General features: G+C 40.1%; 2 annotated features.

Moving 5' to 3' along the window:
• Positions 73 to 1019: an enhancer, noted in NCBI's record as "OCT4-H3K27ac hESC enhancer chr4:79635971-79636917 (GRCh37/hg19 assembly coordinates)". NCBI's record gives its function as "activates a minimal SCP1, AML or CMV promoter by ChIP-STARR-seq in naive H9 embryonic stem cells {active_cell/tissue: H9 hESC(naive)}" and the evidence as "EXISTENCE:reporter gene assay evidence [ECO:0000049][PMID:30033119]".
• Positions 9044 to 9676: an enhancer, noted in NCBI's record as "OCT4-NANOG hESC enhancer chr4:79627314-79627946 (GRCh37/hg19 assembly coordinates)". NCBI's record gives its function as "activates a minimal SCP1, AML or CMV promoter by ChIP-STARR-seq in naive H9 embryonic stem cells {active_cell/tissue: H9 hESC(naive)}" and the evidence as "EXISTENCE:reporter gene assay evidence [ECO:0000049][PMID:30033119]".

Raw genomic sequence — 13191 nt, 5'->3', positions numbered from 1 at the left:
TGACACATATACTTTCTGCTTCCCGGCTCCTTCAGCTGTACTCACTCTTTGTTAAGTCTCCCACAATTACCATTGTTCCTGGCACGGACTTCAATCCGGCCTCCCACATTATTTCTGATACCACACCTGACCCCCATGGCTGTATCTCTCTGATCCACCTGACATTCACCCCATTTCCCCATATTTCCTTCTTTCCTGTTCCTCACCCTGATCACGCTTGATTTATTGATGGCAGTTCCACCAGGCCTAATCGCCACACACCAGCAAAGGCAGGCTATGCTATAGCACAAGCCACTAGCCCGCCTCTTAGAACCTCTCATTTCCTTTCCATCGTGGAAATCTATCCTCAAGGAAATAATTTCTCAGTGTTCCATCTGCTATTCTACTACTCCTTAGGGATTCTTCAGGCCCTCTCCCTTCCCTACACATCAAGCTCAAGGATTTGCCCCCACCCAGGACTGGCAAATTAGCTTTACTCAACATGCCCAAGTCAGGAAACTAAAATACCTTGTAGTCTAAATAGACACTTTCACTGAATAAGTAAAGGCCTTTCCTACAGGGTCTGAGAAGGCCACCACAGTCATTTCTTCTGTTCTGTCAGACATAATTCCTCAGTTTAGCCTTCCCACCTCAATACAGTCTGATAACAGATGAGCCTTTATTAGTCAAATCAGCCAAGCAGTTTTTCAGGCTCTTAGTATTCAGTGAAACCTTTATATCCCTTATGGTCCTCCATCTTCAAGAAAAGTAGAATGGACTAAAGGTCTTTTAAAAACACACCTCACCAAGCTCAGCCACCAACTTAAAAAGGATTGGACAATACTTTTACCACTTTCCCTTCTCAGAATTCAGGCTTATCCTCGGAATGCTACAGGATACAGCCCATTTAAGCTCCTGTATAGACGCTCCTTTTTATTAGGTCCCAGTCTCATTCCAGACACCAGACCAACTTAGACTGTGCCCCAAAAAACTTGTCATCCCTACTACCTTCTGTCTAGTCATACTCCTATTCACCGTTCTCAACTACTCAAACATGCCCTGCTCTTGTTTACACTGCCGGTTTACACTGTTTTTCCAAGCCATCACAGCTGATATCTCCTGGTGCTATCCCCAAACTGCCACTCTTAACTCTTGAAGTAAATAAATAATCTTTGCTGGCAGGACTATGCTGAATCTCCTTAGGCAGTCTCTAATCAGATATCCTGAGTCATCCCAATTCTTAGACCTTTTATACCTGTTTTTCTCCTTTTGTTATTCCATTTAGTTTTTCAATTCATACAAAACCGTATCCAGGCCATCATCAATCATTCTATATGACAAATGTTTCTTCTAACATCCCCACAATATCACCCCTTACCACAAGACCTCCCTTCAGCTTAATCTCTCCCACTCTAGGTTCCCACGCCGCCCCTAATCCCGCTTGAAGCAGCCCTGAGAAACATCGCCCATTCTCTCTCCATACCACCCCCCAAAAATTTTCGCTGCCCCAACACTTCGACACTATTTTGTTTTATTTTTCTTATTAATATAAGAAGGCAGGAATGTCAGGCCTCTGAGCCCAAGCCAAGCCATCGCTTCCCCTGTGACTTGCACGTATATGCCCAGATGGCCTGAAGTAACTGAAGAATCACAAAAGAAGTGAATATGCCCTGCCCCACCTTAACTGATGACATTCCACCACGAAAGAAGTGAAAATGGCCGGTCCTTGCCTTAAGTGATGACATTACCTTGTGAAAGTCCTTTTCCTGGCTCATCTTGGCTCAAAAATCACCCCCACTGAGCACCTTGTGACCCCCCACTCCTGCCCGCCAGAGAACAAACCCCCTTTGACTGTAATTTTCCTTTACCTACCCAAATCCTATAAAACGGCCCCACCCTTATCTCCCTTCACTGACTCTCTTTTTGGACTCAGCCCACCTGCCCCCAGGTGAAATAAACAGCCATGTTGCTCACACAAAGCCTGTTTGGCGGTCTCTTCACACGGACGCACATGAAAACTTCCCCTTTGCCTTCTGAAGTTTTGCTGATAATCACTGACAAGAGGTAGATTAATAAAAGAAAGGGCATACGAATTTATTTGATCATGGTTTTAGGTGACACAGGAGCCTTCAGAATGAAGACCCAAAGATATAGGGGAAACTGTCCATTTTAATGCTTATGTTCAACATGATTGGACAAAAAGAGAAAATCCGATGCTAATAGACTGAGTGGGAAAACCCAGTAAGGCCTGTCTGTTCATATTCTTGACCTCTTTGAGAATACATTCCTTCCTTCTGAGTATAGGGCCAGACCCCCTCTGGAATAGAGGTCTTATGACCTACAGTCAAACAAAGTTGGTCACATAGTTTCTTAAGGACCAGTTTTTACAAAGAAAGTTTGAGGGGAGGGTTAAGTAACATTTTAGGTTTTATGGCTGGCTTTGAGGAAAAGGGGTTCTGGTTTCTATGACCTTCTTTGGGGAAGAGGGATTCTCATTTCTGTAACTAACCTCAAGGAAGAATGGGACTGAGGACAGGAGAGCAGGAAAAGGTCAGAGAAATGCTTTTCCTTCTGAGGCTGCTTCTGAGGTCTTCATTTGGGAGTATTGCTTTCTAATCCCAACAATATTATATCCAAATAGATCATATTCAAACACCTCAATTGTCCCATAGATTTTTTTCAACTTTTTATTTTTGTTTTTGATCCAAGATCCAAACAGCTTCATGCATTATATTTGCTTGTACAGTCTCTTAAATTCCTTTTGATTTAGATTAGAACATTCTCCCTGCTTTTCCACCTCATTCCTCATCACATTTTCTTTTAAACATCTAGGAGCATGCTGGGTGTGGTGGCTCACACCTGTAATCCCAGCATTTTGGGAGGCCGAGATGGGTGAATTGCTTGAGCTCAGGAGTTCAAGACCAGCCTGGACAACATGGCAAAACTCCATCTCTATGAAAAATACAAAAATTAGCCATGTGTGGTGGCATGTGCCTGTAGTACCAGCTACTTGGGAGGCTGAGGTGGGAGGATTATTTGAGTCTGGGAGGTCAAGGCTGCAGTGAGCTGTGATCATGCCACTGCACTCTAGCCTGGGTGATGGAGTGAGATCTTGACTCCAAATCAAACAACCAAAAATCCCAAAAACCATCTAGGGCAGTTATCTTGTAGAATATACCACAATCTAGATTTTACTAATTTTTTAAAATCCTAGTTTGTTTCAGATTTATGTTTATTTAAACTGAAGCTATTAAACGTGATTTTGGGGAGGAATTGCTACCATGAGCCAAAAATCTTGGAGCTAAACTGCATTATAAACTTTCAATTAGACTAAATGAAATTATCTAGAACCAAGGTGGGCAAACTACTGCTTCCCATAGGCCAAATCTGACTCACCAAATCTTATTAATAACATTGTGTTGGATCTCAGCTACACCATTTCTATGTAAAATATGTAAAAGATATGGCTGCTTTCTACTTTCCTTCTATGAAGGCAGATTTGAATAGGTATAACAGAGACTATGTGGCCTGTAAAGCCTAAATTATTTACTATCTGGCCTGTCAAAAAACAGAATGACAACAAATTCAGTTTAAAGATCTAATTTGTTTTATTTGTGATTCTAGAACCACATAAAACCTCATTCTGTAAAATAGAATAAGTGCTCCAATGAGCTGAGCAGAGGAGCTTAGCTTTATAGACAGAAAGGGGCTGAAAAAAGCAGAAACAGAGCGAAAAGTGGAATCGTCATTTCAACGTTACTTTCCTTGTAAATGTTAAAGTCGAGGGGACTTCTTTATCATGCAGCTAAAACTGGCCTATTTGGAAAATTGGCTGTTATCTCTTTCTGCCTCCGGATTTCTCAGATAAACATGTTGGTTTCATCTTGGTGGCATGGAACTTCAGCATGAGTGACTACATTTTGGTTTGGTCTGTTGGGCCTAGTACAAAAGCTCAACCCAAACCAATGGCCTTCTATAAATTTTATCCTTTAATAGAATATGTTTGCTGATTTCTGATCTAGAACAATAAATACAAATATTACTTTCTCCTTTGACATTTAGTCAAAGCATCATTCAAATCCAATCAGATAAATCACACAGATACCCTCAACGGTTTTAACAGCTGAGAAGTAGGAAGAACTGCATTTATCAAGATCATTGATCTTGAGTTTTAAAATTTCTTCCCTTCAAAAACTCCTCTAATGGCCTTATATTGCCCACTTAGATTGAATTCAAACTCTTCAGCATGAAATTCAAGGAAATAATCTTCATAACCTGACCCTAGGCACCGTTTTCTGTGTCACGTTGGTTCTCCTACATTCTAGCTCAGTGGTTCTCACATATAAACTTGTAACTAAAACAACAGCCACAACAACAACACAAAACAAAGAACCACTTATGGAGCATGTTTGAAATGCAGATTATCAAATCCTACTCCTGAGACTCCTGCCTTACTCTCATAATACCTTCACTTGAGCCTGAGCTCATGGAAATGTGTACATATTTATTATCATTTATCTCTGTACATTATTGTAATTTATTGCCTACCAACTTCATGGAGTCCAGTGAATTCCATGAGGGCAAGAAGAGTCTCAGTCATCTTTGTACTGAAGGCACAGTGCCTTGCACATAGTTAACTTGAGGTGAATATTGAATTATATGTGTGAATGAATAAAACAATTATTTGAAATAGGTTTTATTTGAAATAGATTTTACGTGAAACTATTCACATAAATTTTATGACATTGTACATGTTGCTAACTTAACTAGATAAGCTCTTTTACATTTGTTATATAAAATACATTTAGTCCTAAAAAAGATTCAGTGTCAAAAGACACCATTAAAAGAGTGAAAAGAGAAACCACAGACTGTGAAAATCTATTCCTGATTACATATATCTGACAAAGGATTCATAATACGGATGTATTAAGAGCTCCTACAATTCAATAAGAAAAAGACAAACCACCTAATTAACATAATAAGCAGATTTAAACAGGCACTTCACAAAAGAGGACATCCATATGGCCCACAAAAATATTAAAAGGCACTTGACATCCTTAGTCATCAGAGAAATGCAAATTAAAACCATGATGAGACATCACTACACATCCACTAGAATGACAGAGTTGGCAGGAATGTGGAGCAACTGGAACTCTCATGCATTCCTAGTGGGAGTATAAATGGGCATAACTCTTTTAGAAAACTGTTTGGCAATATCTATGAATTCTAATACACATCTACTCTGTAATCCAGTAATCCCATTTCTAGGTATACACCAAAGAGCAATGAAAACATTTGTTCTTTAAGATACATGTAAAATAATATGCATAACAGCTTTACAGTAACCCCAAAATGGAAACAACCCAAAAGTCCATCAACAGGAGAATGGATAAATAAATTTGGGATATTCATACAAATGGAATACTATACAGCAATAAAAAGAATAAATTTCTAATACATACAACAACAGAAATGAATTTCACAAGTATAATGTTGAGTAAAAGAAGCCAGAAATAGCCAGGCGTGGTGGCTCACGCCTGTAATCCCAGCACTTTGGGAGGCTGAAGTGGGCAGATCACTTGAGGTCAGGAGTTCAAGACCAGTATGCCCAACATGGTGAAACCCCATCTCTACTAAAAATATTTTAAAAATTAGCTGGGTGTGGTGGTGCATGACTGTAATCCCAGCTACTCTGGAGGCTGAGGCAGGAGAATCGCTTGAACCCAGGAGGTGGAGGTTGCAGTGAGCCAAGATCGTGCCACTGCACTCCAGCCTAGGTGACAGAGTGAGACTCTGTCTCAAAAAACAACAACAACTACAACAACAACAAAAACAAATCAAAACAAACAAAAAACCGCAACCCAACAGCAACAAAAAAAAGAAGCCAGAAAAGAGTACATACTGTGTGATTCCATTTTAGGATGATAAATGTCAGAATAATTATTACTTTTGGGGAGGTATTGACTAGGAAGAGACTAAAAGGAACCTTTGAGGAAGCTGGAAATATTTTATATTTTGATTTGGGTGATTTCCCAGTGGATACATATATAAAAATTTATCAAGCTATATACTTAAGATTGGTGCACTTTATTATACATATGTTAAATTTCAATTAAGAAAGTTAAGAAAAATGGGCCAGGTGCAGTGGCTCACACCTATAATCCCAGGACTTCAGGAGGATCACTTGGCCCAGGAATTTGAGACTAGCTCGAGCAACATAGCGAGACCCCATCTCTAAAACAAAAAAATACATATATTAAAAGAAAGTTAAAAAGAATCTGGGATGTCTCACATCACATCTCTATGTTACCAACTGTAGGGCTCTGGATGGCATGGACTTGTTAATCACTTAAATCAACTTCTCCCCAGAAAGTGTTGGTTTATCTGTAAATAAGGATTATAATAGTACTTTCTTCATCTGGTTGCTGTAAAGATTAAATAAATAAACACAGAACAACAAACTCAGAACAGTGCTTTGGACATAGTTAGTGATATGTATTAGTTATTATTATGACATACCCATGCTAAAATTTATACAGTACCATGAAATATACCTGGCTGGTAATTGTATTTTTAAGCAATTTTTAACCTAATGGCCAGCCAACATTTTTTTTAACATGGTATGGTTTCCCCCTGCAACCTGATTTTCTTTTCTTTCCTTCTTCTTCTTTTTTGTTTGTTTGTTTGTTTAGAGACAGGGTCTCGCTCTGTTGCTCAGGCTGGTGTGTGCAGTGGCACAATCATAGCTCATTACAGGCTTGGACTCCTGGGCTCAAGCAATCCTCCTGCCTCAGCCTCTGGAGTAGCTAGAACTACAGGTGTGGACCACCACCCTGCCTGACTAATTTTTTAATTTTTTTGTAGAGATAGAGTCTTGCTATGTTGCCCAGGCTATTCTCAAACTCCTGGCCTCAAGTTATCCTTCTGCCTCGGCCTCCCAAAGTGCTGAAATTATAGGCATGAGCCACAATGCCCAGTGATTTTATTTTTTAAAAAAGTGTGTGTGTGTATATATATATATATATATATATATATATGTGTGTGTGTGTGTGTGTGTATATATGTATATATATGTGTATATATGTATATATGTATATATGTGTATATATATGTGTGTGTGTGTGTGTGTGTGTGTGTGTGTGTGTGTATATATATGATTTTTTTTTTTTAAGACGTAGTCTTGCTCTGTCACCCAGGCTGGAGTGCAGTGGCGCAATCTCGGCCCACTACAAGCTCTGCCTGCCGGGTTCACACCATTCTCCTGCCTCAGCTTCCCGAGTAGCTGGGACTACAGGCACCCGCCACCACACCCAGCTAATTTTTTTTGTATTTTTTTAGTAGAGACGGGGTTTCACTGTGTTAGCCAGGATGATCTCGATCTCCTGACCTCATGATCCACCCACCTAGGCCTCCCAAAGTGCTGGGATTACAGGCGTGAGCCACCGCACCCGGCCTATGCTTTTATATACATATATACAGAAAACATCAGATGGAAAAAAAAGTTAAAAAGCATTACCCATAATCCACTACTTTTAAACTTTAACAAAATAGCATTTACGAAACTATCAAATGGAACCAAAAAAGCAAGCCAACTAAACAAATTTCACCTTTTTTTAGACTTTCTAAAATAAGTATCACTTCTCAGCCTTTTGGCTAAGATAAAGTGTAAAATAATAAGTAAATGGGTCGTTGAGTGCAGTGGCTTGTGCCTGTAATCCCACATTTTGGGAGGGCAAGGCATTGTTTGAGGCATTGTTGGAATTGTTTGAGCTCCGGAGTTTGAGACCAGCACGGGCAACATGGTGAGAACTTGTCTCTACAAAAAATTTAAATAAATTAGCCAGGTGTGGTGCTGTGTGCCTGTAGTCTCAGCTACTCGGAAGGCTGAGGCAGAAGGATTGCTCAAGCCTAGGAGGTTGAGGTTGCAGTGAACCATGATCATGCCAGAGCACTCCAGCCTGGGCAACAGAGTGAGACCGTGTCTCATAAAACTAAAACTAAAACTAAAATAATAAAATAATAAGTAAATGTCCCTCAATTTCCCCTTCACTCTTCAGAGGTATAACTACTCTTACCAGATTAATCTGTGTTTGAATTTAGTTTTCAGAAAAGAAACATTCTGCTCTGTGTACATACTGTTGATCTGAAGACGATAAATACCAGGCAATCAGTACACACAAGCTAAAGACAAATTAAATATAGGTCTCTGATGGAGAAGATGCTTTGTGATGTATTTTCTTCTTGATGGAGTCACGAGTTGCTCCTTTATTGCCTAAACCAGCACCCTTAGCATCACTGCTGCTGGCACCAAGATATTTGGTAAAAATAAGTTCTAGGGGGTGCACAACCACAGACTCACAGCTGAGGCTTTGTCTTTTCTCAGATAAACATAATCTAAACAATGAGACACTGTCTGAAGGTCAAAGGGGTGGGAGGAAGAAGAGGAGGAGGAGGAGGAGGAGGAGGAGGGGTTAGTCAAATTCTCCTTTTGGACTACGTAGTTGCTAGATTTATAAAGCTCCCCTCCTTTACTGTTTTCTCTTTCTTTTCTTGAACAGCTTCCAAGTGACACTTGATGTTCCTCCTTCTAGTGTGACTTTGCATTGAGGGTCCAGTGAGCCCCAAAGCAAGGAAACTTGCTCAAGGCCTCTTTCTGCAGCTGGGGGTGGGAAGAGTTAAAGGGTTTCTGGAGTCTGCAGGCCTTTTTCCTCAGTATCAAGGGTCCCAGTTTTTCTCTTTGAGAATTATTTGATTCTTTCCTCTAATGCTTATAAATAATGTTTCTAGGCTATTTAGATTGAATTTTGGGTGTGCTTAGGGTCTCATATATCTTCTTAAATTTTAAGATACATGATAAAAGTTTTTACTGTTATTTGATTTTTGTACTTTTATTTTGATGTCTTCTTCCCCATCTTTATTCATCACACCTCTATTCTAGACACTTGTACTAGCATTCTGTCTTATCCCTTTCTCAAATCCCTTCATTGGTTTCATTCATTTATTCAACAAATACGTTGTTGAATACTTGCTATTACCAGGTACTGCTCTAGGTTTGGGGATAAGCAGTGAACAAGAACAGGTTCCTGGCATCATGGGTCTTATATTCTAATTGAAAACAGAAGATAAACAAACATATTCATGACACAAAAAATCATGTCATGGAGTAAAAAGCATCATGAAGAAAACGACAGTAGTGCAAATGGATGGAGAATGCTATGTTAGTGTTAGGGTAGTTATTTTAAGTACATTGCTGTGGTAAGGCTTTTCCAGGGGGGTGACATTCCTTTTGACACTTTACTTTCTTCTCAAGTCTTTCAAGGTGTTGGTGACTCATTTCTGAGCCTGTCGTCTTATATTACCCTTCTTACCTATACCTTATGTCAACACATCCCGCACTGCCTCGCTTTGCATATCCATCCTACTTTCTTATGCTTGCCACACTCTCGACTTCTTCCTGATGATCCCCTATTATCTCCCAAATCACTCCCAAAGTTTCTTTAAACATCTTAGACTGGCCACCAAAAAATTTGCACGTGGGTGCTTAGCACATCCTTTTCAGTGATTTTTAATATTATTCATGTGCCTTGGAAATTGCTGTTTTAGAAATAATTCTACTATAACCCAGAGGTTTTCAGACTTCTGGTATTTAGGGGATAACATACCCTACAAGAGTATATTAAAAGGCTGTAAGGCCTTTTAAGGGTCTTTTAAAGGCTTTGAGGCCAGTCCCTCTCCTAGCTCCTTCAACTCAGCCTTGCAAATGCTGTTTATACTTATAAAAATATCAATTCAATAGAGCTTTGCCTTAATACACAGCCATTGTGGTGGCTATGAAATACCCACTTTATTCTGAGCAACATACATTGAAATCTGGAGTGGAAGTGACCCTTAAAAAAAATCCTATCCATTTTTAGTGTGACTCACATTTTGAATGAAACCCAGACCACCTGTTGTTTATTCTCTACCATTTGGAACTCTACCTTCATTTCTGTGTTTCTTCCAGAGGACATGGAACAGGGATTTCCACATAGTCTTCCATTAAATAAATAAATCCAATAGTGGAGTGGGTCCTGGGAGTTTCATTAAACTACATGCAAAGGCTGAATTTCTGCATTTCTTGGCCAGGACTTTGAGATTGTACACCATCTATAGCATGTGACCGTGCTTAGCACAGTACCTGGACTATAATTGTGACTGAATGTATCAATAGATAAAAAGAGAAGGGCAATGTCTGGTAATCAAATATTCACAAGCTCTTCAAAACAATTTGATTCTGTTACATGTATCATTTGGAAACTGTCTATGTCAGCTTTTAAGGTGCTTTTATTTTAATAATGCAAAGTAGTTTTTATTAGAACAGTAAACAGGAAACTGTATTATCTGCACAGACTCAGTGGCCTACAAAAAGAGGACTTTGCACTCTAATTAAGAACAAAGCACCCAATTACATCAGATTGAACTTCAGAATCACCTCTTTGTTTTTGTTTCATCTTGTAATGCTGAACAAGGATTCAGAGGGAGTGGGTCAGGCAAAGAAGCTATTTGAGGATTTAATTAAAGGATTGCGTCTCATGTCCGCTTTAGGAGCTGCTCAGGTGAAGCAGAAGGATGGTAGCATTGAGGAGGTTGAGAAGCTAGTTGCCAGTTTTGCAGGCTCTGAGATTTCATTCTGTCAGTTTGCCAAGGAATGAGCTGTCAGGCTCTGTCTACTTCACAGCTTCTCCCCCTGGGTCTGTGCCTTCTGATTCTAGCTTCAGGCTTAGCCTCACCCAGACTGTATGGCTCATCTAGCCTCATCGTTTGAGAACTTGTTAGAAATGCAGAATCTCAAGCCCCACCCAAACTTTCTGTGTCAGAATCTACATTTTAGCAAGATCACATGTCTGCATATTAAGCTTTGACAAGCATGATTCCATGGGGCTCTAGCCCAGCACAAAACAGCATGGTTATCAAACTTTAGTGAGCTTCAAAATCATTGACAAATATAAGAAAATGAAAAGACCTGGTCTCCTACTCCAGGGATTTTGATCCAGAGAGTCTAAGATGGGGCCTTGGAATCTGCCCTTTCTTGGGTATATGCTGCTGGTCTAGTTCCAACAGTTGGGTTTCTGCATGCTTTTGTGTCTTTATCCCGGTTCTATTAATTAGCACCATTGTGTCTTGTTCTTTGCTTAAGAACTGTTTCCAGTGTTGGTTTCAGAATTTCTATGCAGAAAGATCTTAGTACAGTAATCCAGTTTGATAAAGGAAGCTTGAAGCTGTTTTTGTCTAACACTTATTTATTTATTTATTTATTTATTTATTTATTTATTTATTTCACTCTGTCACCCAGGTCTCACTCTGTCACCCAGGCTGTCACCCAGGTCTCACTATTTATTTATTTATTTATTTATTTATTTATTTATTTATTTCACTCTGTCACCCACATCTCACTGTCACCCAGGCTGGAGTGCAGTGGGACAAATCTTGGCTTACTGCAACCTCCACCTCCTAGGTTCAAGGAATCTTCCCACCTTAGCCTCCCAAGTACTTAGAACTGCAGGTGCACACCACCACACCAGGCTAATTTTTGAATTTTTTTGTAGAGACAGGGTTTCACCATGTTGCCCAGGCTGGTCTCACTGTCCAGGGCTCAATGAATCCTCCGGCCTCAGCCTCCCAAAGTGCTGACTTTGTGGGCTACTGCACCCGGCCTTGAGTAAAAGTCTTAACAGAATGTATCCATTAGGAAGAGTAATTTCCCAGTGGAACTGGGGGTGCTAGAATAGACGCCTGGAAGCCAAAAAGCAATGAATGTCTGCCACACCTATTTAGTGTGTAAATAGTGGGTCAAGTCTTGCTACCCAATGGTGCAGTTCTATTGCTTTTCAGATTTTATGGAAATGCCTTTGCAAAAATTATAACAGTGAGAAAATTATGACAGTGAAAGAAATCTGACCTAACTAACTTTATCTTGCCTTTAGCCTTCAAACTTCCCTTAGTCATTCCTGGGCATGGACCAAGCTAACTGTGGGAGAAATTTAGTTTATTGTTTAACCTTAAAGCAAGGATGATAATAGCCCTTCCTCAAACTACCCCCTCCTTAGTTGGGGACCAAAACTGCCTTTGTAAAAGTAATGAAAGCCCACAATATTAGGATTATGAAAGGGACCTGAATTCTGCTAAGATGTAGACATAGTTAAATGAGAATCAGCCATTGTTCTGGAGGTCACAAGATTTATAACTTCCTCAATTACTCCTATAAATAACATCACTATTATAGAACCTAAGATGGCCATTTGAGATGTCTTTTCAGACTTTTGCATTTCCGAGGACCAGATGATTCCACCTGAACCTGCAATTCTTAACTCAACTGGTCCTGTGGCCCCCACCCAGAAGAAGACTCAGCACACAAGTACTGTTTTCCACACCCCTATGGTTTTATCTCCAACCAATTAGCAGCACCAATTCCCTAGCCACTTGCCTGCCAAAAATTATCCTTAAAAAACCCCAAATATGGGGGGAGGCTGATTTGAGTAATTATGAAACTCAAGTCTCCCATTTAGCTGGCACTATGTGTATTAAACTCTTTCTCTATTGCAATTCCCCTGTCTTGATAAATTGGCTCTATCTGGGTAGCAGACAAAATAAACCCATTAGGCAGCTATAAATTTGGGGCTTGTCCATGATAGCCTTTGTAGGTACTTGCCTGTGGTTCAGCAGCCTCTCACTGGCAATGGATTCAGAGGCCAGCCCAAATGGCCACTTAGTTTTCTTGGACTAAGGACTACCCCTGGCACCATCTCTTCTAGTAGGGTGCTATTTACCCATAATGCATGGATCTAATTGCAATGGAGAAATATTTCCTGAAAGACATCCAGTATTTCAGGTGCTGCCAACATCCCCTTCCTTCTCCTGATCTGTTGGCCTCTCTAGAGGCACTGTTGTCCCATCATGGGAACTATCCGGCTCTCCCTAGATTGTAGGAAGAATCTCGGTTTCGGGAGATCTCTCCCCTGTTGGATGGAGCATAGGAGACCTGTTTGGAAGAATGCTCTTCCGGTTTGAAGAACGAATCTGGTCTGGAATCTTGGTTTAAAAATTCTTCTGTTTGTCTTTAGTTCACTGTGTGTGTTTATATATGTGCAGAAAATCTCTAAAGGAATGGCTGATGGAAGTCCAGCCGGCTCTCCTGTTTTGTCTGACCAGTCACATTCAGTAAGCCCTGAAGGA

Source organism: Homo sapiens, chromosome 4 (genome assembly GCF_000001405.40).
Source record: "Homo sapiens chromosome 4, GRCh38.p14 Primary Assembly".
Taxonomy (NCBI): domain Eukaryota; kingdom Metazoa; phylum Chordata; class Mammalia; order Primates; family Hominidae; genus Homo; species Homo sapiens.
The sequence above is the reverse complement of the archived record's forward strand: the minus strand, read 5'-3'. Positions and strand labels throughout refer to the sequence as shown.